The 25138-nt window shown below is 36.1% G+C and overlaps 1 protein-coding gene across 10 annotated transcripts in view, besides 2 other annotated features; it reads left to right on the top strand.

The window, feature by feature from the left end:
• Nucleotides 1–25138, top strand: part of NALCN (sodium leak channel, non-selective) — a 363404-nt gene that overhangs the window by 156884 nt on the left and 181382 nt on the right. For all 10 annotated transcript variants that reach the window (XM_011521069.3, XM_011521067.3, XM_024449336.2 and 7 more), the window contains 2 exons: nt 1722–1853; nt 22374–22541. In XM_011521069.3, the coding sequence (XP_011519371.1) occupies nt 1722–1853; nt 22374–22541 (300 nt within the window). The remainder of the gene's footprint in view (nt 1–1721; nt 1854–22373; nt 22542–25138) is intronic.
• Nucleotides 1531–2730: an enhancer, noted in NCBI's record as "P300/CBP strongly-dependent group 1 enhancer chr13:101909917-101911116 (GRCh37/hg19 assembly coordinates)". NCBI's record gives its function as "activates an origin of replication core promoter dependent on BRD2, BRD4, P300/CBP, MED14 and CDK7 cofactors, with strong dependence on P300/CBP, by STARR-seq in HCT116 cells {active_cell/tissue: HCT116}" and the evidence as "EXISTENCE:reporter gene assay evidence [ECO:0000049][PMID:35650434]".
• Nucleotides 2141–2200: an enhancer, noted in NCBI's record as "active region_7962". NCBI's record gives its function as "activates an Ori minimal core promoter by ATAC-STARR-seq in GM12878 lymphoblastoid cells {active_cell/tissue: GM12878}" and the evidence as "EXISTENCE:reporter gene assay evidence [ECO:0000049][PMID:35858748]".

Below are 25138 nucleotides of genomic sequence, written 5' to 3'. Positions count from 1 at the left end.
GCAACCTAAGTGTCCATCAACAGACGAATAGATAAAGAAAATACAGTACATATGCGTAATGGAGCACTATTCAACCATAGTAAAGAACAAGATCCAGTCATTTGTAACAACATGGATGGAACTGGAGATCATTATGTTAAGCGAAATAAGCCAGGCACAGAAAGACAAACATCACATGTTCTCACTTATTTGTGGGATCACAAAATCAAGATAATCAAACTCATGGACATAGAGAGTAGAGATTGGTTGCCAGAGGCTGAGATGGGTACTGGGGGGACGGGGGGAGGCAGGGATGGTTAATGGGAACAAAAAAAATAGAAAGAATAGATAAGACCTACTATTTGCTAGCATAATACAGTGACTGCAGTCAATAATAATAACTGTACATTTTAAAATAACTTAAAGAGTGTAACATAATCATTTGTAACTCAAAGGATACCCCATTCTCCATGATATGCTTATTCCCCATTGCATGCCTGTATCAAAACATCTTGTGTACTCCATAAATATATATGTGTATATATATATATTTATGTGTGTGTGTATATATATATATATATATACACTTACTATGTACCCACAAATATTTTTAATGTGAATAATATGGCCTGGAACATAGTAACCGTTTAATACATGATAACCTTTATAATAATACTCATTATGGCCAGGCATGGTGGCTCATGCCTGTAATCCCAACACTTTGGGAGGCCGAGGCGGGCGGATCATGAGGTCAGAAGATCGAGACCATCCTGGCTAACGTGGTGAAACCCTGTCTCTACTAAAAATACAAAAAAATTAGCCAGACGTGGTGGCGGGCGCCTGTAGTCCCAGCTACTCGGGAGGCTGAAGCCGGAGAATGACGTGAATCCAGGAAGCAGAGCTTGCAGTGAGCCAAGATCACGCCACTGCACTCTAGCCTGGGCGAGAGAGCGAGACTCTTTCTCAAAATAATAATAATAATAATAAATAATACTCATTATTTTTTAATGTTTAATTATCTTTATCTTAATGTAGGCAGTAGACTTGGACCAGACTTGGGTTCCAGTATTGAGTCCATCTTCAATCCCTGTTTGACAGTGGGAAAGTTACTTAACCTCTTTGAGCCTCAGTTTCCTTATTAGAATAGGTTCCTAGGGCTGTTATGAGTTAATTTATGTAAAGCACCTAGAAAAACTCCAGGTAGAGAGCAAGTATGATGTACATGTCACTTACTAGAAGTTGTAGTAAAATTTTCAACAAATATTTATGGAAGTAATAAGTAAAAAATAAATCTCAGGTTTCTCTTACTTTTCCAGTTGTATAATAATCATCTCTAAAATATTTTCATCTGCAGTATTCTCCCTAAACACAGAATAAAGAAATACTTGTTTTGTGTTACTAGCTTTTTAAAAGCCATTTATCCATACAGTCAGAATTAAGGATAAATACTACCCAACCAACCAATTAAAAATTAAGATGCAAGCCATACACAAATGATATATGTTTTCCATTTTTAGTCAAAAGTCTCTGAAACCATCTTCCTAGTCACTGTTTAGCTGCCTGAAAGAAAGGTTCCCTTGCCTGCCCAGTTCAGCAGTGTGGGACATGGATGGCTTTATCTTGGAAGCCCTGTTTTGCATAGCAGCACATCACAAAGGTGCTGTCAGCCAAGGACTAAGTCAATTACACTTAATCATGAGGTTTATTTCTTTGTTAAGAGTCTGTCTGTTTCGCCCCCTCAGAAAATGATGCGGTCATCCGTTTTCCACATGTTCATCCTGAGCATGGTGACCGTGGACGTGATCGTGGCGGCTAGCAACTACTACAAAGGAGAAAACTTCAGGAGGCAGTACGACGAGTTCTACCTGGCGGAGGTAAGCAGCTCTCCACCGTGCAGATCGCTGGGCAAGGAGCAGGTGAACCGCGGACAGTGCCTCTTAGAGATGCAAAAGTGAAGTGTAGCCTGTTCATTACTTGACTTTCACCAAAGCTGAATCATTGTCTGCTTCTTAAGTGGTTCCTCTGGTCACAGTGTGGCCTGATTCATTTCCTGTCACCGCGGGCCTGAGTCATCTTCCTCACAGTATGTCACGTTGCCAGGGTAACCCTTTTCCCCTGGGTCTTACTCTAGAATCTTGCTGTTTTCCTATCCACCTCTTATTATCTCTCCCTTTCTCAGCGTACATTAGTTTGTTTCCTACTAAGTACAAGCAGGCACAGATTCAGAAGATCATAAATAAGCTGGTCAGCTCAGCAATACGTAGAAGAGGGCTGGAAGGACATATAGAGAGATGGTAATGATAAATTACTCCTCTAGAAACGGGTGTTACAACCTACATTAAAGACACCAATTAAAGGTAGGTTTCATGATTAAATAAGCATCTCCCTAGCACTCTACATATCATATTACAGTTTTGGAATAGTACTTCCTATTGATAAGGTAATTTTGTTAATACCTGATTCTTAAAATATTTTAATTTTTATTTCTTTCAATAAGCATTTTGCATTTATATTAAAGCATTTTAATAATTTTCCAAGATCTTTGTTTTTTTAATGTAAAAACTTACCTAAAATATATCTCAGAATTCAATGGTTACATATTTACAAAAAAATTGATTGACAACGTAGAAACCCATTCATTGTGTGAGTGAGGTATACATACACAGTTGTACAACGCTTCAATAAATCCAACCTATGAAAAAGTAAACTGAAAAGACAGAAAAAAGTCACAATTTTATTATTTTTACCAAAGCATTTTTCACATAAAAAAAATCAATTTGCCATATAATTAAGTGTTATTACATTCCTAGAATTCTCTCAGTACATTTAAAAATTGATTTGGTTAATAAAAATTTAGTCTACCCACGCACAAGCTTTTCTGAAAAAGAATTGATTGCATGTACCTAACGAGCATAGACATCTACGTGGATATCAAGAAACTTTTAAGTAGTCGCTTCTGAATTCTCCTCTTCATGGAAGTATGTCTCCTGAAACAAAATACCGTTAATACAAAACTTTTACTGGGCTACAGTCTCTGTGATGCAACATTTGCCCAATGGCCACCTGGTATATGGAGCTTACAATCTAGCAAAAAAAAAAAAAAAAAACAATAAACAATAAGAGTTTTGTGCTATGGAGAACTAATGACAGGGGCTGATGAAGAAATTATATCCAGCCCAGCCTCTGAAAAATAGGTATAATTTTGCTGAAAATCCAGCACACGATGAATGGATTGTCAATAAAAGCAGAGAGAAGGTCGGGTATGGTGGCTTACGCCCGTAATCCCAGAACTTTGGGAGGCCAAGGCGGGTGGATCACGAGGTCAGGAGTTCGAGACAAGCCTGGCCAACATGGTGAAACCCCATCTATACTAAAAATACAAAAAATTAGCTGGGTGTAGTGTCGGGCACCTGTAATCCCAGCTACTCTGGAGGCTGAGGCAGGAGAATCACTTGAACCTGGGAGGCGGAGGTTGCAGTGAGCCAAGAGCGCACCACTGAATTCCAGCCAGGGTGACAGAGTGAGACTCCATCTCAAAAAAAAAAAAAAAAGCAGAAAGAAGCCTAGACTGATACTAATATTTGCAGGTAAATTTCTAACACAGGGAAAGAACAATGAAGGAAGCCTCATCAAGTTATTTCTGTTTTTCCCAGGAAGTAGGAAGCAAGGTCTGCATCCAGCCAGATGATGAGACAGTGAAGTGGGAAGTTGGCAAAGAAAGGGGAGAGGGAAGAGGTGCCTGGGGTTAGGCAAAAAATTAACAATACAGCAAATGCAACATTAAAGATCCATTTAGGACTATGGATTTACAGTGATACCAATTCAGATAGCTCTGCGACTTTTTAGCCCTGTATAAGAAGAGGGAAAAGCAACATTTAAATCAATCCACCTTTAGGGATTTTTTTCAGGTTAGGGGAACTGAGAAACAAGGGGAAAAGATGGATTGCTGGCAAAGGAGTTGAAATGATGACCCTGTGGTTTCTGTTGGATGTGGAAATGGGAGGAGAATGGAGGAGTGAAGGTGAAGGATCAATGGTCTCTATATGGTTAAAGGACGGGTACCACCAAAGTGATGGAATAATAGAACCAGAAGAGGTTATGATCAGAGAGTGGAGTCCAGGATTTTACAATTCCAGGGTAATTCTAAGTAATGAAATATAAAATCTAGGGTGTCACGTGAATGTGGGTGGCTTAAACATATTGATGGAGTCAAGGCAGAAATGGAAACGACTGTTGAAGCTAAGGCGCTGGCTGAGTCTTCACATGGACATTGAAGTCACTCAGAGTGAGGCCAGTTCTTGGAGAGAAGAGTGGAGTCAGGGAGCAAAGTCACGGGGAATGAGCGAGTGACTGATGAACAGATTGACAGAAGGACAGAAGACAGCTACAGGGAGAGTGGGTGACAGCATGGTTTAACCTCATGGAATACGTTGCAAAGGAGTATCAAGGAGTAATGGATGGGCACCTCTTCCTCGTCTACATGTTCTACTAGAAAGGGCTGGAAAGGGCTGCAGGGGTAACTCATGTATTTGAGAGAGAATCAGTTGAGGCACAGACAGAAAGTAGATTCTGGGAACAGAGATTGATAATGTAGAGGACATTATTTAACGTAGGAGAGACTCAAAGATTAGTTCAAGGCTCTGAGGAGGGAGAAGTGGGAAGATCGATGAGACAGAAGAATGATACAAGAGTAATAGCATCAGTAGGTAAAGATTTGCTGGCAAAAATGCCAGGAAACAAAAGCAGAAATGACCACAAGAGATTACAGTTATGCTTATCTCTCTGGGAGGAGGAATCTGCATCTGCTCCTGAGGGAATCTTGACATTAGAGATTACAGTAACATTGCTTTTGTGATCTAGCACAGGGTGGGCAGGTGGTCACACTAAATCAGTCCTGGAGCATAAGTGAATAGGCCCTCCACACTGGCAACAGCAGGGAAGGGAATTCTTTAGTAAATTTTACCTAACTTTTTCATGTACAGAATTGATCCTTTCCTAATGTGTTTATGTATGGTAGATGATTTATCCTCATACCTTAAGAAATTCCAACAAAATGTCAAATAATTGAATGTTGTAGAGTTGACTGGTTACTATTTAAGTGTATTGTAGAGTCCAGGGGTAGTTGGTAAATCCTTGTCTTTTTTCTTTTTTATATAATATTAAAAATAAAAACAACCTCAACAACAGACAGACAGGATTGGATGGTGGAATTCAGTATATATTATGTGTCCAATAATTGTTGTCCCCTGACAATAATAATAAGAAAGGGTGTGGGAGGAAACTTTGAGAGGTGGTGGATATGTCAATGGCATTGATGGTAATGGTTTCACAGGGGTACACTTATTCCCAAGTTCATCACATTGGTACATTACATGAATGCAGCTTTTAACATGTCATTCATTCTTTTTTTTTTTTTTTTTTTTTTTGAGACAGAGTCTCGCTCTGTCGCCCAGGCTGGAGTGCAGTGGCGGGATCTCGGCTCACTGCAAGCTCCGCCTCCCGGGTTCACGCCATTCTCCTGCCTCAGCCTCCCAAGTAGCTGGGACTACAGGCGCCCGCCACTACGCCCGGCTAATTTTTTGTATTTTTAGTAGAGACGGGGTTTCACCGTTTTAGCCGGGATGGTCTCGATCTCCTGACCTCGTGATCCGCCCGCCTCGGCCTCCCAAAGTGCTGGGATTACAGGCGTGAGCCACCGCGCCCGGCCACATGTCATTCATTCTTAACAAAGCGGCAAATCAGTTAACCAGCTAAAAACTAACTTGAAATCCTGGAAAAATAAATAAATAAATAAACTAGGTAGTGGTGATTTTGTTGACTTAAACAACCAGATAGACCCCATCAGTGTACTCTTGAACTACTTAAGCATTCTGAATTTGTTCCACTCTAGGTTTTGGGGTTTTTTTGTTGTTGTTTTTGTCTCCTTTTTTTTTTTTTTTTTTTTTTGAGACAGTCCCACTCTGTTGCTCAGGCTAGAGTGCAGTGGCACCATCTCGGCTCCCTGCAACCTCTGCCTCCCAAGTTCCAGTGGTTCTCTTGCCTTAGCATCCCAAGAAGCTGGGATAACAGGCACACCCAGCTAATTTTTGTATTTCTAGTAGAGATGGGGTTTCGCCATGTTAGCCAGGCTGGTCTCAAACTCCTGGGCTCGAGCGATCCATCCATCTTGACCTCCCAGAGTGCTGGAATTACAGGCGTGAGCCATCACTCCTGGCCGTTCCACTCTGTTTTTGATTTTGTGTGTTTGACTTTCCCCAAGTATGTTTCGTTTTTATTCAGATTACATTGCCATTTCTCTTTGTATCAGAAACTTATACATGAGACAAAGTGATTTGTTTCAAATGAATGTGAAAAAGTCACTTTAATTAAACTTACTTTTTCATAATATATTCTATTTTTATAAAGTTTATAAAGATGTCTTGAGTTTAGGCCAGGGTTTGGCAAACTCTTTCTTGCAGACCCAGATAGTAAACATTTTGCCTTTTGTAGACCACCCTCTCTCTGTCTCAACTACTCAACTCTGAAATTGTACAAAAGTGAGTGTGTCTCAGAATGGTTGTTTTCCAATAAAACTTTATTTACAAAAATGGATCTTGGTTTAAGCTATAGAAACAGAGAGCAATGTCAAATAATTGAATATTGGATTATATTCAATTATTTAAAATACAAATAAATAATAACATTTTGTGTTAAAGTCAAATATTTTAATACTGACAACAATAAAGCTATGATTTTTGGGGGGCCCATTATGTTCTAAGTGCTTTAAAAGAATTCATTGTCTCATTTAATTCTCAAAATAGTTATAATAACAGCAATTCAAGTTTATAGACTATAATGATGCAGTATGTAAGGCAATAGCATTATGTAATATTTTGAAAAGTTTATTTTAAAAATGGATCACAACAGGTCATGAGCTTTTAAAGAAGTTATTTTTTAAGTTCCCACATATTCCAGAATAAATTATTTAGAAAATCTAAAATAAAGCACTTTACCCATTAAGAGCCAACTCACAGTCTAAAAATCACCCTTTAAGAATAAATTAAGATACTTAGCTTCTGTTGTGAAGCTGGGGACTTGTTTTGTTACTTTGGATTAATTAACCTACATTTAGAATTAGTTAAGAAACAGGAAACAGTTTACCTCTTTTGTAGCCTATGCATAAACAGAAAAAGGTAAAGTTTATTTTCCTCTGTAAGAATTTTAACTTTTCATTGTGATCTAAGAGAATATATTATTATTGCACATTAAATCATATGTTATAATGAACATGATTACATTTTAAAATATATATTATTTTCTTAAGAAATAAAATATAAGCAATATTTTTCTTATTATTATATGAATGTATTTGTATCCATTAGACTGTACATTTAACAAAATTTATCAGCACAGCACAGGAGATTAAAAGCTTTATCTTCTTTTATCTCAATTCTTCTTTTGAGAAACTCACAAACAGATGGGAGAGATACAACAAGGAAGGCAACGGACCTACAGAGAGGCCCAAAGTTAGCTCTGTGTCACCCCCTAGCATTATCCCCAGCTATGTTCTCTGATTTCCTCTAGACCTATCTGAATGGGGAGCTCAATCCTCTTCCACCTCCTGGTGTTAAGTATTAATGAGGACAGTCATGTTTTCCAATGAAGCCAGAGGGGAGAAAGAAGTCCTAGGACTCTGTGCTACATACCCCACAGTAAATTAACTAGAACTCCTCTTACCCTCAACTCTGTCTATCCCTCCTACCCAGCCTACTCCCATATCTCCCCAACTTGTCATCAGCCAGGCAGGCTCTTCCCCTGCTACTCATGCACAGCAATTCCACTCCACCCCCAGACTTGCATCTTCACTTGCTTTTTGTTCAGCAAAACAAAAAGCTCTGCTATTAAGAGGATCTAGATTCCTCAGAAAAGAAAGTATCATCTATTACTTAAGCCCTCTTAGTCCCCCACAGGAAATATTTATTTTAAATACATTCAGAGTTTCTCTGCAAAGATTTCACATGGATATAAAATTTTTCATCTCATTTCAATTATAAAGTCAGAGAACAGAGAGGAAGAAGGGCCTAGTATCCTTTCTTACATGGCAGTTGTGCTTGGTGATGGGGAATCAGAGGTAAATAAAGTAAATAAGATATGGCCATCGATGTGTGACTCTAAGGACCTCTTTCTACTCTTAGAAGCTATAGTTCTGTGAGATTATCTGGTGTAATCTTGAGTGAGGTGTATACCTAAAATTTGTGGCAATAACATGATTTATCAAAGAAATTTTAGTGACTCTACAAGAAGAAATTAAGAACAATTTCCAAGTCAGTGTTTGTCTCAACACATCATATCCATATGAGCAGTTTTAGTTATTAAATCCGTGTTTCCAATAGATCTAAAAATCATTCTCTATTGTGGTAGACTAAATATGTATTAAGTTGTCTTGTCGGAGGGAATGAGTCATAAACTGCCAAGGTGCTAGTTCGCTGAGAGAAGTTACAGCTTGAGAGAATGTTGTTTCTAAAACAGATTATTGATGAAGCAAAACGTGCTGAGACTAAATTAATTTTACACAAATAAGATTTGGGCAGGATTAGACTTATTTATGTCAGATACCTATGATGTCAGAAGCAACCATTAGCCTTTGTGTATTAATATGATTATTTTGCAGGATTCTTTTTCTATGGTTATTTTTCCTTCTTTTTGAAATTTCTATCCTTTGAAAATCTGTGACTTTCTTTTATTTCCTTCTTAATTAGAAAGTATTTCATAAATTCAACACATAGAGAAAATATTATAACCAATATTTGTGTGTCCGTCACCCAGATTTTTAAAAAATTAATAGTTTTTCATGTTTGGGTCAGGTTTTTCAATCAGAAATAAAACATCATTAGTAGAGTAGAAGATCCCTGTGTACCACTTCTTGATCTCCTCCTTCTCCCTAATCCACAGAGAACTATATTCATCATATCAATGCATGCTTTATAATAGTATGAAGTATTAAGGTGCCACTTTTTCAATCCTCATTATATTTGGGAAATTGATTCATGTCGATTGAAGCATGAATTTATTTGTTCTGCATGTAAGGGCAATGGGTATTTCAATTGCTTCCAACTTTTTGCTGTTGAAAACAATACTTCAGTAAACATTGTCATTAGAATTTCTGTGCCACATTTGGGAGAGCTCTTTCTAAATATATACCTAGACTTAAAATTGTGAATTTGTCAGATATGCTCACTTTCAACTTTGCTAAATATTGTTAAATTGAACTTCAAAGTGCTTGTGTCAATTTACATTCCTACCAGGATATATGAGCAGCTCTACTTCATACTACTTTTTTTTGTTCAGGATTTTTAAGTTTCTTACAATCTCATATAATCATTATAGTCTTAATATACATTTTCTTGGTTACCATAGAGATTTGACCTTTTTTTCGTATTCTGTCAGCCCTGAATTTCCTCTTCTATAATTTTGCCTGTTTAATCTGTACCCTAATTGATTTTTCAGTTATCTAGTAGTATGCAGTGCAGACATCTCCCAGCCTTCAGCTTGTCTTTTAACTTTTATTTGCTGTCTTTTCTTCAATAGAAGTTATTAATTTTAACACTGTAAGATATAGTCATCTTTAATTTTTGATTCAGTGCTTTTTGTGTCTTATCTATACCAGAGTCATTAAAGACATTCTCTTATAGTAAAGGCTAGAGTTTTCAAGTTGTGCTTTTTCAATTTTAGACTCCAATACATTTGGAATGAGATAAGGACTTGATTTTTTCCCCATATATAAACAATTGTCCTTCGAAGATTCATTGAAAATTCATTCTTTCCTCACTCCTGTAGTGCAATTTCTGTCATATATCAGGTTTACACATGTGCACAATTGTGTTTCTGGACACCTCAGTCTGTGTCTATACATCAAAGCTTTAGTTGATAACATGTTGTCATAAGTGCTATCCTTTATAATAAACCTTGAGATCTATTAGGGCAAGCTACTGATGTTGATATTCTTCTTCAGATTTGTTTTATCTGTTCTTGGTCTTGCTATTCTTGCTCTACATTATGAAAATTTAATTCATTTTAGTAATGAGATTTTAATTGATGTTAAGAACATCTCTATTCAGTTATTCTAACCTTCCTTAGTGTTTTCCAACAATGCTTTATAATTTTCTCCAAAGGTCTTCCACATTTTTTGTTACATTCATGCCTACATATCCTACAGTTTCTTTTGTGAATGAAATAATTTCAATTACATTTTTATTGATGTAGGAATAATATTAATTTTTTATATTGACCTAATTCATAGCCAGCAACTTTACTACAATTGGTTGTTTGTGATCATCCATAGACTTGATTGGAATTTCTATGTAGATAATTGTATCTTCTGAAATTAAGGTTTTGTCTTTCCACGTCTAATTATCATATCTCTGATTTTTTTCTTCTTTTATTATCCGGGTGTGGGTCTCTAATAAAATGTTGAATAGAGGCAGTGATAGTGGACATGCTGGGTGTTTTTCTATATTTTGATACGAATGCTTATGATTTCATCATTAATGTCATTTGTAGGTTTTTATAGATGCCTTTCATCATGTTAATAAAGCTCACTTCTATTTCTAGGTTGCCAAGAGCATTTCTCATTATGAGTTGAGTATTCAATCTTCTTCTACCTATACTGAGCTGACTACACAGACTTTCCTTTTTAATTTCTTAGTGCAGTATATTAGAATAATAGATATTTTGATACTGAAACTATTTTAGATTCCTGAAACACTTGATTTTATAGCATTACTTTTAATAAACAAATCCAATAAGCTGACATTATATTAGGAATTTTCAATCATAAGGATAGTAGTTCTGTGATTTTATTTTCTTTTACATTGCTAGTCTGATTTTGTTAGGGAAGTTACACTTCCTTTCACAAATGGAATAGACATATTTTTCTCTTTTTCTCTTCTGTGAAAGAATGAATAAAGTCCCTCTGGAACACCATCTAGGGCTATTGTTTGCAGTGGGATCCCTGGTGGAGAAAGGGAGAAGAGAGATCTTGATTAATGACTTATTTTATGGTTTGATTATTATGGTTTGTCAGTTTCATGGTTTATTGCTTGCTATTTATAGAGTCATTAATTTTAACTAATGTCTCACATTTCCACAGTTTTCTCTCAGGATTTTTATAATCTCTATTGAAACTGAATGTATAATCCTTTTTGCTGCCAATATTGTTTATTTATAACTTTCTTTTTTATAGAAGTAAATGACTTCTGATGCTAACTACCTGGATTTTAGACCAAACTTCACAGCACAGAGGCACAGTCCTCTACAAGATTACCCTTACTCGAGATACTAACTGTAAGCTCAGGGGGTTCCAGGGCCTCCCTGACATATGACATATCATATGGCTAATATGGTTGATATGACATATGACATATCATATGACATATCAACAGGCTAAAAACTCGGGGGTTTCCACTAGCCTTCTCAAGTTTGATAATTTGCTAGAATGACTCACAGAAATCAGGAAAGTGCTATACTTCTGATTACATTTTTATTAAAGCAAAAAGGTTGCAAATCAGAGCCAGCCAAAAGAAGAGATGCAGAGAGAAAGGTCTGGAGAGTCCTACATGTGAAACTTGCTGTTTCCTCTTTTCATGGAGTGAGGACATATCACCCTCTCAGCACATGGATGTGAAACAATATTCAGAGCGCTGAGAACCAGGGAAGCTCACCTGAGCTTTGTGCTGAGGCTTCTGATTGGGATTTCCTTAGGTAGGCATGATCGCTGGAATCACTGGCCATGCACACAAGGTTGGAGTTTCTGACATGGCCAGTGCTCATGAATGATCTCATTGCCATAAACTACCAGGGTCACCATAAATAACAAAGATACCTATCAATTGGCAAATTCCAAGGATGTAGAGGCTACTTCCCAGGAACTTGAGGCAAAAGCCAGTAAAATTCTTTATTTTTCATTCAAAGAACCAGCTTTTAGTTTGGTTGACACTAACAGTTTCTAATGTACCTGAAATTATTGGTTCGTTCCCAATATTTTGAACTATTAAGTCCCTTTATTTCTTTGTTTTTTAAATTTCTCCTCTCACCTTTATTATTTTCTCTTTTTCATTTATCTCTTTGGTCATCTTAAACTTCTTTGAAAATTCTTACTGGGGTTCTCTGGGTGGAATATAAATCATTCTATTATAAAGATACATGCATGCATATGTTCATCGCAGCACTGTTCACAATAGCAAAGACATGGAATCAACCCAAATGTCCATCAGGGATAGACTGGATAAAGAAAATGTGGTACGTATACACTATGGAATACTAGGCAGCGATAAAAAGGAACGAGATCACATCCTTTGCAGGGACATGGATAGATCGGGAAGCCATCATCCTCAGCAAACTAACACAGGAACAGAAAACCGAACACTGCATGTTCTCACTTATAAGTGGGAGCTGGATAATGAGAACACTGAATAGCTGAACATGGACACAGGGAGAACAACAACACACACTGGGGCCTATCAGGAGGTGGGGGGAGGGGTAGCATCAGGATAAATAGCTAATGCATGTGGGGCTTAATACCTAGGTCATGGGTTTATAGGTGCAGCAAACCGCCATGGCACACATTTACTTATGTAACAAACCTGCATATCCTGCACATATATCCTGGAACTTTAAATTTAATTGAATTTAATTTAAAAAAATAAAATAATGAAAACAACTAAATGATGGTGAAAAAAAAGTTTGACAAAATTAATTTTACTGAGAGTAAATTCATAGTTTGAATTTTAGAATTTTGTTTTCTTTCTCATTAGATTTATTTAAAATCTTTGCATGCTGCCTCATTTGGCTTGGGAGATTTTCTTATTTCTCTCTCCCTCCCTCTATGATCACTTCTACTTTCTTAGGGATATTGCAGTTGCCTTAACCTTGACCCTGGACCCTACCATCCAGAGCCAGGTTTTTAAGTGTCATTTGGAGAATGCTAGCCCCTTGATATGGGTGATATCACAGTTCTTGTCACTAGTCTATATTCCATAAAATATCTTGTTCTGATTTTTCAGATAAGCTGATAATTTCTCCTCCTGCCTCTGGAGGCCTGCAGCTGCCTATAAGGTCTTAGCCTTGGGTAGTTGGTCTCTGTCCTTTCCTTAGCAGAGAAACCCATTCTAGTCCCTGTCTTTTCACTATGAAGGTTCTCATCTTTACCTTATCTAAGGTGCCTTAGTCTCCTCACCCTATAGGAAGCAATTGAGTCCAACATTGCCTGATTCTTGACCTAGCATATGTTTCTGTTGCATTTCTGGTCAACAAAGAGGTTAACCTCGTTTAGAATTCCTTCCTGCCTCTTTGGTTTCCTGTTTTTTCCTTTGATCACAGTATGTTTGAAACAGAAGGGGTTTCATAAATCATGAACTCATTTTGCCGTCTTGCAGGGAGTCCTCTTTTCTAGAAAAGTGATTTCTGCATTCCTCTGAAGACATTTGGTTTTATGATATTTGTTAAAATGAAGAGTCATTTATTTTGGCCCCAACAAAATCTGACACCCACGTTTGAGTTCATTAATCATAAAAATTGGCCAAATGAAGAAAATAATCAATCTTGCCATAGCAGCAGTCTTTGACATTATTGTTGAGTTTAATTTCATTTTCTGGGAAACTTCAAGTAAATAGGTTTCTTCTGACAATTACTTTTTGTGTGTGTTTCTAAAAGATCTGGACATTATCTTGTTAGGTAAAAATATAATACAATAATGACAATCTGGACTTCTCAACCATCCATCTCAAAATTTGCTCTTTATAACATACTGATATACACTATAAGCTAAGAGTAGGTGATTTACAGACAGCTCCAGACTGATACAGGTAATCAGTAATCACTTTTTGTTGTTATTGAATCTGAATTTCATGTAAGAGAATGGGATTGCCTGAACTGATTTTCTTGTGAGCTTTGTCCTGTAATCTTCCTTTGTGATAAATATGCATTTTTTTCTCATGATATCCATCATGATTCTTTGAAATTAGAAAACAGAGACTGCAACACAAATATTAGATAACACATTTCAAATATCTTTCCACTCATGGGCAATGTCCATCTCTACCATTTTATCTCATAGGCCTGTGTTTACGAGATTAGTTAAACTCTGCTGTTGTTACTGGTAGAGGGTCTCGACTGCAAGTTGTCCAGGTTCTTGACGTTTTGAATAAAGAACTGGACAAAACGCACAGCAAAGCAAGGAAAGAAAGAAGCAAGGAAAGCAGAGATTTATTGAAAGTGAAAGTACACTTCACAGTGTGGGAGTGAGCCCAAGCAGCAGCTCAAGGGCCCCAGATACAGAATCTTCTCAGGTCCAAATACCCCCTAGAGGTTTCCCATTGGCCACCTACTTGGTGTTCACCCCATGTAAATGAAGTGGTTGCCCGCAATCAGAGGCTGAGGTGAAGTTACGAAGTTACATTCCTAGGCAAGTGTCTGGTTGGGAAAAGCAACCGATCAGAGGTACTTTCAATTATCCATCTGCCGCACAGAAAAGGTGGGGGTTTGCAAAGGGAGTAGCCCCTGGTCCTTTTGCTACTCAGGCATGGAAAGTTAGGGTTTTTCTTTCAATTTAGTTCTAAGAAGTCAGTGTGAAATGGACTTAGGTTCCCTGCCTCCAGACCCTATTCTCCTGCCTCATTATGGCGACATCAAACCAGGTATATCGGTTGAGCATGCATTCTCAACAGGGAGTAAAATCACCTCCAAAGGGGTGAAAATATGTTCTTAGTTGGGGGGTAGAAAATTCTCTCTTTTATAATGCAGATTGCCTTGTAGACCAAATAACCAAAGTAGAGTATGTAAAAAGATATATAATATGGTAGAGGTATCAAAACTCCATGAGGTGGTGATTAAGAACAAAATCTCTAAAAGACTTCTTAGAAGAGGTGATTTAAAAAAAGATTGGGAAACACTGCTTTGGGGTATTTGTAAGAAGAAATAAATATTTCTCTTCTTTTCTATGCATTGTTTCTAAGTTTTCTTAAAGTAATGCAAAAAAAAAGAAAAGTTTATTATACTCTTACAAATTTTGTCTTAACTCTTAAAAAGTTAAGTTTTAACTTGTAGGTACTCACAAAGGTGGAATGCACTGCAGAATATGAAACAGAAGAAGGGTCCCAATGAGCCCTTCTTGGTGCAGGGGCTGCAGACTGAGGAGGGCCAAAGCAGTGGAGGGCTGCCAGGCTAAGAGTGACAAATGGAAGCCACCGTTCCACTTTTCCACAGGCTGCCTGCTGAATGCCTGGGATTTGCAGAAAGCCTTGAGATTGGACACCTGCACAGGTGACTTTGGTGGGAGCCCTCCAGGCAACTAGGTTCTGCAGAGACCCCAGTTGCCTTCTCCCTTTTAGATGGCTCCCAGCATGCCCCTGGCAAATTCCACCCTGTCCAGCTACCATCAAGGTTGAGTTCACTGCAATAATCTGGAGCTGCACATTGAGAAGTGGTTACTAGAGCTTGCCTCCACTGCTTCTATTTTGGTTCTTCTGAACTATTATAGTCCTCTGAATTTAAGTCCTGTACCAAACCCCATAACCTACACTGAAATACTTAGTGATCATTTAAACTAATTTGATTTTCCTAATCACCTTCTTTAAATCCTGACACAGTTCTTCTCTATGGCAGGATAACCCATACCTTCAAGTTAAGTTAGGCATATTTTTATGTGCATTGATTTTCCATAAAATGTTATCACTTTGGCATGAATATTTCAGAGAGCTAGAGTGTTGGCTTGTAAAAGTTAACAAATTATGTTCAAAGCAAGCCATTTGATTCCAAGAGAATCTGGAATCAGGAATTCTAGGGGAAAATCAGTGAGACTATAGATATTTAAATATAATCACATAACAATTTGCTAAATCTTTTAGTGCCTTTTAGTGTCTTTCAAAAGAATATCATTTTCCCACAGAGAAAATTGTAATGCAAACAGATCCAGCTGCATATTTTACTATAAATTATGCTCATTTAAACAGTTCATTCCATCTGTCCTTTTGATAATATATGCAGTTAGTAAGGTGATTAATTGTATGTATACATAATTAGACAATCTATTGGAATATCTTTCAGGCATTCATTAGTAGTTTTCTTTTAAAAAAACACTTTAAAATGGATCACCACTCTTTTTTTTTGGAATGAAAATCTCAGTCTGAAAATACAGGTGAAGGGAGAGATGATGTAATGAATGCCTATTACTGCTTCCTCTGCTAATACAGCAACCAGGTCAGGCATGTGGATGGGACCTTCATGACACATCAATTTCAGTTTCTCCTGAGATTCCCTAGTATCCATAGGAGAGAAAACAGGTTCAAGTCTTCCCCATATCATTGCAAGGCCAGAACTAAGAAGCCTGTGCTAGAGAGGAAGTACCTGTCGCAGGACTTGCAGCAAAGTCTGAGTCCTCTGGTCCCCTGAGGCCACTGCTCAGGGCAGAGAGCCTTTCATTTCCCGCAGAGGAGCTGGACCTGCCTGTATGCTGCTTGTGGTCCAGGAGCAGTCCACAGAGTCCTGTGGGTCTCAGTGGGCCAGGAAGGGAAGCTCACTAGAGACTGAATTACTCCAGGTGGAGAAGGGGGTCAATAAATGACTCCACTCATTTCTGGGAAATCCTGTCACCAAAAAGCCTTCTTCAGATGTTCAGCAAAGGAGCTATGGCTTTTCAGGTCTTTCGCCTCCGTAAACTATGGTGCCCTCTACTACCCCTCATTTGCCACTGCTTAAGATAGCATAAAAGACAAACGACAATTACATCAAAAACATGTATCCATGGTGAAGGAAAGAAAAGTTAACTCACACACAAAGGGAGACTCAGAAACTGAGGATGAAACTCAGAGAATCAAGACAAATGTCTAGTCTAGAGATTTCCCAAGCAAGTAGAATTGATGGGCGAGAGAATCCGTTGTTGTTGTTGTTGTTGTTGTCTCAAGAAAAAGTAAGCAGGGCACAAAATACAATTTCTGTAACTTCAACTAAAAATGTCCAAAAAATGAGTTAAAAAAGGGCATAGTCCTTGAGAGCTAGTTTTTAATATGGGAGATGAAGCAGGAAAAAATAACTCAAAAAGTGGTAGAGATATAATAATAAGGGCAAAGTAAAATAGCCTATCCACACAGCTATGAATAATAGGAGTCCCTGAAGGAAAAAGCGAACAGATAGAAGAAAAGTTGTCATAAACAACGGAAGAAAGCTTACATAAATGAAAAAAAAAAAAAAACATAAATCTGCAAACTGAAAGAGCTCACTAAATTTTAGTGAGATTAAATGAAAATAGATGCTTACTCATGTCCTGGTGACCTTCCTAGGTTGCAAGCATAAAGAAGTAACCTTGTTCAGCCCCTAAACAGGCTGAACCTAAACCTGAAAAAGTAAAATAAATGTATTGTGCAATGGATGACTCATCTACAATACTGGAAAGTGGAAGGTAATGAATCAATATACATAGACTACTGAGAGAATAGAACTGCAACTACAGAATCTGAACACAGACAACATGTTCATCTGTCAGTGTTAAAAATGCATTTTATATACAAAAGGACTAAGAGAGCATAAAACCCTTTGTATTTATTTGAGAAAACTACTTTAAAGTGTGCTAATCACAAGATAAGTAAATTGCAATCTCAATGACTAGACAAAAGAAGAGAGAATTGATGGGCATTGGATCTCAATAGATAATAATAAATATGTCAAATAGGGATCTTTGAAAAAAGAGAAATGATAACATTAAAGAAACTAGTAATAAATTTGTAAATGATTTCAGCAAAACCAGGACTTAGGAAAGGGTGTGATATCAAAGGAGAGTGGGATGGTAGAAGTGTACTATGAAGTTTGCAGATGTGTGGGGTGGAGGGATGAGTGAGCCAGCAATTTAGTTGTGAAGCAATAAGAAAAAAGCATTGGTTTGATGTCTAACCATTGAGAATTAAGCCAGGAGATTAGAAAAACCAAGTCGAGCGTCCAAATTAATGAATAGGGAAAGAAATTAGCAAATAGTTGACCAAGTTAAAAAAAGACAAGATAAGGTTAAAAATGAAACAGCAATGACATAAAATACACAGGAAGCGTAAGACCAAGTATAACTTTGGCACATTTTGTTTGAGCAGGTTGAATTTTCTTATCAAAAACCCTAGAAAATCTGAGTATGTTTAAACACAAAATAAAAATTGTACACTGCTTATAGGAAGCACATACAAAGTGGCCCTGCAAGGTAACTAAAAATCATTTCTACCAAACACTTAAAATATTAAGACGTTTTAAATGTTCAGCAGAGTGTGCAAAAAATTAAGGAAAATTCTTGAGGCCAAAAATTAAATGTGACGTGAGTCCAGAATACCAGGTGGGCCCCAAGGCAGTGGCTGCCCTGAGGACATTTGCAAATCCTTGTGACCAGAACTTGCAGTTTTCAGGAGTGTGTCCAGGATGGAAGTGACTAGAGGCCTGTGCAAAGTGAAGAGGCAGAAGAGAGGCCCCACATAACATCAGGAAGGAAAAATCCCATCCCTCAGAGGGAAAGGATGGGATCATCATTCTGGACCTTGACCCCTGGCAGATCAAAAATGTTATCTCTGGCCGGGCATGGTGGCTCACGCCTGTAATCCCAGCACTTTGGGAGGCCGAGGTGGGTGGATCACTTGAGGTCAGGAGTTCGAGACCAACCTGGCCAACATGGTGAAACCCCATCTCTACTAAACATACAAAAATTAGCCAGGCATGGTGGCATGTGCCTGTAATTCCAGCTACTCGGGAGGCTGAGGCAGGAGAATCACTTGAACCTGGGAGGCAGAGGTCCCAGTGAGCTAAGACTGATCATGCCACTGCACTCCAGACTGGGTGACAGAGTAAGACTCTGTCTCAGAAAAAGAAAAAAAAAGGTTATCATGTTATCTGTACTGAATTGTGTAAGACAGCCTGCCCACTCGTGGGGTTGGAGCTCAAAATCCCATTACGTCCAGAATCTGAGAAACAGCAGCCAAAAGTTGATTTAAGGGGGACCCAAATTTCTAAGATGACCCAGGTTCCCTGGAAGAACCAATTCTTTCTGGAAAAATATGTACCCTAAATGCAGGTCTTGAAAATCTAGAGACAATCAATGATTTCCTGGCAAAATACAAACTGCCAAATTGATGGATGAGATAAGAAACCTGATCTGAACAGCACTGGACAGCTTTGCTCCACCATCACCAAAAGGCCTGTGCCCATGTGGGTTTCCTGGTGCTTTCTGTCTACTTTTAAAGGTGTGCTAATTCTTATTTTATTTCAGAAATTTTCATACAAAAGATAAAAACTGTACAGAATGAATGATAAAGCTAGCATAATCTTAGCCAAAACCTGATAATGATATACAAGTAAAACTATAGGCCAATTTCACATAAAACAGTAACTGTGAAAATTATAAATAAAATATATTACCCAATAAAATCCAACATGTTAGCATTATCATCTAGAGTTTTTTTCCAAAAATAAATAAATGGTTAACATCAGGAGCTTTTGTGTTATATTTCATTGCCTCAGTGAATTAAAGGTTAAATCCTTTGAAGGAGAATAGGAAGAAAAGGAAAGTCTTTAAACATGATAAAAATTAATCACCAAGACTCATTTCAACCACTATATATGAACGCTGAAGAAACTTTCATTGAAAACAAGGAGCAAGTTATGGATTCCTATTATTACCATTTTGTATTTAGCAACCATTATATAACTGTACCTTTATAACTAATGCATTCATATGATTAACTCCAAAATAAATCTTAAAAATGAAATAATCTTATTTTATTTCCTTATGAAATTGTGCACATTTCTATAAAAATCGTGAGACTTTATGAAAAATATTAGAATTAATAGAAGAATCTAGTAAAGTGGGTACAGAAGGTCAATATAGAGAAATCAATAGCTTTTCTTCCCACTGGAACTAACTGGGTAGAAATAGTAAAAAAGAAAAAATACATAGATAGATAGAGAGAGAGAGAGAGAAAGAAAGATAGGATATTTAGGATATTTATATGGAAAAAACTTATTAAAGAACGTAAAATACAGTTCAAATAAATAGGAAAAGAGTGCATTCCTGGATATGAAGACTAGTATTAATCTTCTTAAAGTTCTATTTTATATGTAAAAGGTAAAGAAAAAAATCATAAAGTTGTAGACATATGTGAACATGTAAATTTTATGTTTGTAGCACTAACAATATCAAAGTTAGAAACCAGACTGTTGGCTAGGGAAAAAATGTTTGCAGTATATATAGCAAAGATTATTGTCCTCAATACCAACAACTCCCAAAACGCATAAGGAACACAACATAACACCATATAATAGTGTCAAGGTTACGGACAGTAACATTTAATTACTTTAAAAAGAAATTAAAGTGATTAATAAACATATAAACAGATGAGCAACAATAAGTTTGATTACACTGATACTGGCATGGATTTGAGACAAGATAACTTTCCTGTATTGCTGAAGGGCAAATGATTTCTTATAATATTTTGAAAGTAATCACTTTAATATTTTCTAAATTTAAAACACACTAATCTGTCTTTGCCCCAGCAATACCAACTTTGGAAATCTATTTATAGATATGAAAGCCTCAATAAATACTGGTATTGAGGGAGGATGCTTAGTGCAGCCTTTTTATTGAAGTAGCAATGTGCTTAACCACCTTCCTGATGATTCCTGCAAATACCACCCATCAATGAATTAGTAGAGAAAATGTTGAGTTACATAAACATTGAACACTATGGGAAATTATGCAGCTGATAAATAAAACATAGGACCTATATCCCTTAATCTGGAGGGATATCCACGATTGTTAGTGACTCAGAAAACAAGTTGCAGAGTGATATATAATATTCCTGCATACCCAAATCTTTATCATTCACAGTTCACGTAACTTTAGGTAATACCAAGAATGCCTATTTGTCTTTAGAATTTTTTTTCTTTCCAGAGTAAATACCTGTCACATTATTTTTAACAACTTCATAGAACTGTATGTAATATTTATACATAATAAGTGTATAGAAAGTATGAACTTGACAGAGGACAATGACATCTTTAAAATTAGAAATAGTGCTTTCATAAATTGTAACAATTGTTTTTACATCTCATGTAAAAACATGTAATTGCAAGCCTGTTTCTGTGATTGCATATGTGTGGATGAAGAAGCAGATGATCAAGGAAAGAATATACATGACATTAACATGAAATACCTGAGAAACGTGGGCAAAGGAGTTCATCCACGTGTTTTGTGGACTTAAGATCATTTCAAATTTAAAATATATTACCTTGTTATGTTTTTTAAGGAGGGAAATGGCAATTAAAATTAAAAAGCAACTAGAATCTGCAGAAATGGTAGATTTGAGAAGTGATGCTAATTTCCTCTTCACATCTAAATTAACTATCTGCAGTGCCTTTAATGTTTCATTTCTTAAAACACTATTATTAAAACTGCATTTTCCCCACATGTTCCATATATGAGTGGAAGAAAATCCCTTCTGATACTCCACATTAGTCTAGAAGAAGAGAAGCAAGGTCTGCTATATTCCTATCTTCAATAAATCATGTAGTGTCTTCTCAGAGGGACATATTATGACTAATCCCAGTAGTCACCCTCATAGTCTTTAATTAGAAGTTAATCTTCTATTGCAAATTTTAATTCCAGCTGCAATCTCCTTTACAAAATGAAAATTCTTGTTCATAGGACATGTAAAGGAAATAACATGCTGTCTTTATGTGTGTGTTTTATAATATTGTTATTTGGAATAGTAAATTCATAGAATGCATGTGAGAGATTAAAAGATCAAATAAATGTGTTAATATACTAATATTGATCATTAATTTTATTAATATTAAAGTAACATATTGATTTATTTGCATAAGCACACATAGATCAATTGCTTGGTATGAAATCTCAATTTCTCTTTTGCCATGTGGCCTAAAGCATAAAGGAATAAATGATATTTTAACTTTTAAATTTTAGTTTAATTAGGTTAATAATATGTAAGTTGTTATTTTATAATATGCCATGTACATTAAATAAATTTTATCTTAAAAAATACAACATACAAAAAAATTCAGCCTTTTGTGTACATAGAAAGTCTTTAAATAATAATGGTTTTAAAATAATATCAAATATAGATAATAAAGAAATAATGCCACTCACAAACATTCAAAATCATAACATGTTTTTATAATTGTTTAAGATTGCTTTGGTCTACTGTGTTCTAGTTGGTATGTTTCAAATGCATTCTTAAAGTAAAATGTCATTCTTGACCTTATGGGGCACCTTAGTGTATATGATAGTGGCAAAAATTCATACACTGACAAATATGTGAAATAATTTAGAATAAATTATAGTTCTGAATTTCAATTTCAATGTTTCTTTGTTTCTCTAGGTGGCTTTTACAGTACTTTTTGATTTGGAAGCACTTCTGAAGATATGGTGTTTGGGATTTACTGGATATATTAGCTCATCTCTCCACAAATTCGAACTACTACTCGTAATTGGAACTACTCTTCATGTATACCCAGATCTTTATCATTCACAATTCACGTACTTTCAGGTAATAAAAATAATGCCTATTTGTCTTTAGAAATTTATTTATTTCCAGAGTAAATACCTGTCACATTATTTTAACAACCACATAGAATTATATATAATATTTATATATAATAACTATTATGGTAAATATGAACTTGAGAAAGGCACAATGACATCTTACAAATTAGAAAAGTGCATTCACAAATTGTAACAATCGCTTTTTAAAACTCCTGAAAATTCACAGAAACAATGTAGATGTTTTACTTACTTTTCCTAAATTAGCAGTATATAGATACACATATTTTTATATATGGATAACATATATCCATACATGCGTATCAAATTTTAAACTACATAAGATGTTGGCACAAACTTTAAAGACTAGGAAACATTAATTTAATCCCAAGTGTTTCTCTTCCTTGTCGATAAGGCTAAGTGTTTGCTCAACAACGGTTTATAATGAAAATATTAAAGGTTTATAAAACTTACCTTTACAGATTGTAATTACTCATACAGTATTATTTATAAATGCCTGTTACTTCATGATGGCACTTATAATTCTTATTTAACTTGTAATAATTGGATATCTTTTTTTAAATGTGATATATTGGATCACATTGCTTTCTAATTATGCAATAAACAGTAATTATTAGTTACATTCTTTGTTATTATTGAATATAGCAACACGCTCACTGTCCTGGTAAATACTTAGTCAAAATGATAAAATATGTCTACATGGTATTCTAGTCAAAAACACCTCAAATGTAGTCATTTTCCTGATTCAAACTTGGTCATTTATTTTTTATTTTATTTTATTTTATTTTATATTATTTTATTTTTTATTTTATTTTATTTTATTATTATTATACTTTAAGTTTTAGGGTACATGTGCACAATGTGCAGGTTAGTTACATATGTATACATGTGCCATGCTGGTGTGCTGCACCCACTAACTCGTCATCTAGCATTAGGTATATCTCCTAAAGCTATCCCTGCCCCCTCCCCCCACCCCACAACAGGCCCCAGAGTGTGATGTTCCCCTTCCTGTGTCCATGTGTTCTCATTGTTCAATTCCCACCTATGAGTGAGAATATGCGGTGTTTGGTTTTTTGTTCTTGCGATAGTTTACTGAGAATGATGATTTCCAATTTCATCCACGTCCCCTACAAAGGACATGAACTCATCATTTTTTATGGCTGCATAGTATTCCATGGTGTATATGCGCCACATTTTCTTAATCCAGTCTATCATTGTTGGACATTTGGGTTGGTTCCAAGTCTTTCCTATTGTGAAGAGTGCCGCAATAAACATACGTGTGCATGTGTCTTTATAGCAGCATGATTTATAGTCCTTTGGGTATATACCCAGTAATGGGATGGCTGGGTCAAATGGTATTTCTAGTTCTAGATCCCTGAGGAATCGCCACACTGACTTCCACAAGAGTTGAACTAGTTTACAGTCCCACCAACAGTGTAAAAGTGTTCCTATTTCTCCACATCCTCTCCAGCACCTGTTGTTTCCTGACTTTTTAATGATTGCCATTCTAACTGGTGTGAGATGGTATCTCATTGTGGTTTTCATTTGCGTTTCTCTGATGGCCAGTGATGGTGAGCATTTTTCCATGTGTTTTTTGGCTGCATAAATGTCTTCTTTTGAGAAGTGTCTGTTCATGTCCTTCGCATTTATATAATTTATCATGGAAACACTAGAATGTGCATTGATTGTTTTCTAAATAGATATTGTTAAATATTTGGGAAATAAAATGACAGTAGAATTTTAAAGAAGTAATTTTGAGAAACAGGACTCTAACCCCTTAGGAAAAAGAACATGCATTGCAACTTTATTGATTTTATTTATTAGTAATACCAAAATATTATTTTCAGAACAATATTCACTTTAACTGCCAGATCACAGGTAACTAGACACTTTTAGTACCTGGGGGAAAGGACATGCAAATATAATTCACAAAAAGTAAAAAGCAAAACCCCCTACAAACCCAGGCAAAAAGCTGAGCCCTTGTAATCACAGCTAAGCATATTGAAACCACAGAGGGTTTTCATAGTTCAAGCGCTCACTTCCCTCAGCATCCGTGGATGTAAATCTCTCCTCATTTGTTGAGTTATATCCTGAAGCTTAGCTATCATAAGTGACATGGCTGGGGCAAGAGATATACATGTTTAAAACTCTTGATACAAAATGTGCTTTCCAAACATTCCTGTGATTATAAGCTCTTGTGCACTGCTCTCTAGATTCACAAAGTTATCATGGCCATTGAGTACCTACCTTAGGGCATCATTGCACATAATTATAGAGAATATCCTTTATATCAAAACAACAGCATACCTTTTTTACAAAGCTATTAAAGTAGCCAAATTAAGAAAATTGGTGTTGCCTATTTCAGCAAAGGTACAGTATAAAATATATTCAGGGCCTTAAAATTGCTATAGTCTCTGACATGCCATTTTTCAGTAAAAAGTTAGAAAATAACATTTGTGTGCAAAATATTTATTATAGAATTAATGAGAGAAAAAAGAAAACTGTTTAAATGACAAACATTTGAGGAATAGCTTAATAAGTCATAACGCGAATTTAACCATAAAATTATAATTGTGATGAGTT

Source organism: Homo sapiens, chromosome 13 (genome assembly GCF_000001405.40).
Source record: "Homo sapiens chromosome 13, GRCh38.p14 Primary Assembly".
Taxonomy (NCBI): domain Eukaryota; kingdom Metazoa; phylum Chordata; class Mammalia; order Primates; family Hominidae; genus Homo; species Homo sapiens.
Note: the sequence above shows the minus strand (reverse complement) of the source record. Positions and strands in the feature narration are given on the sequence as shown.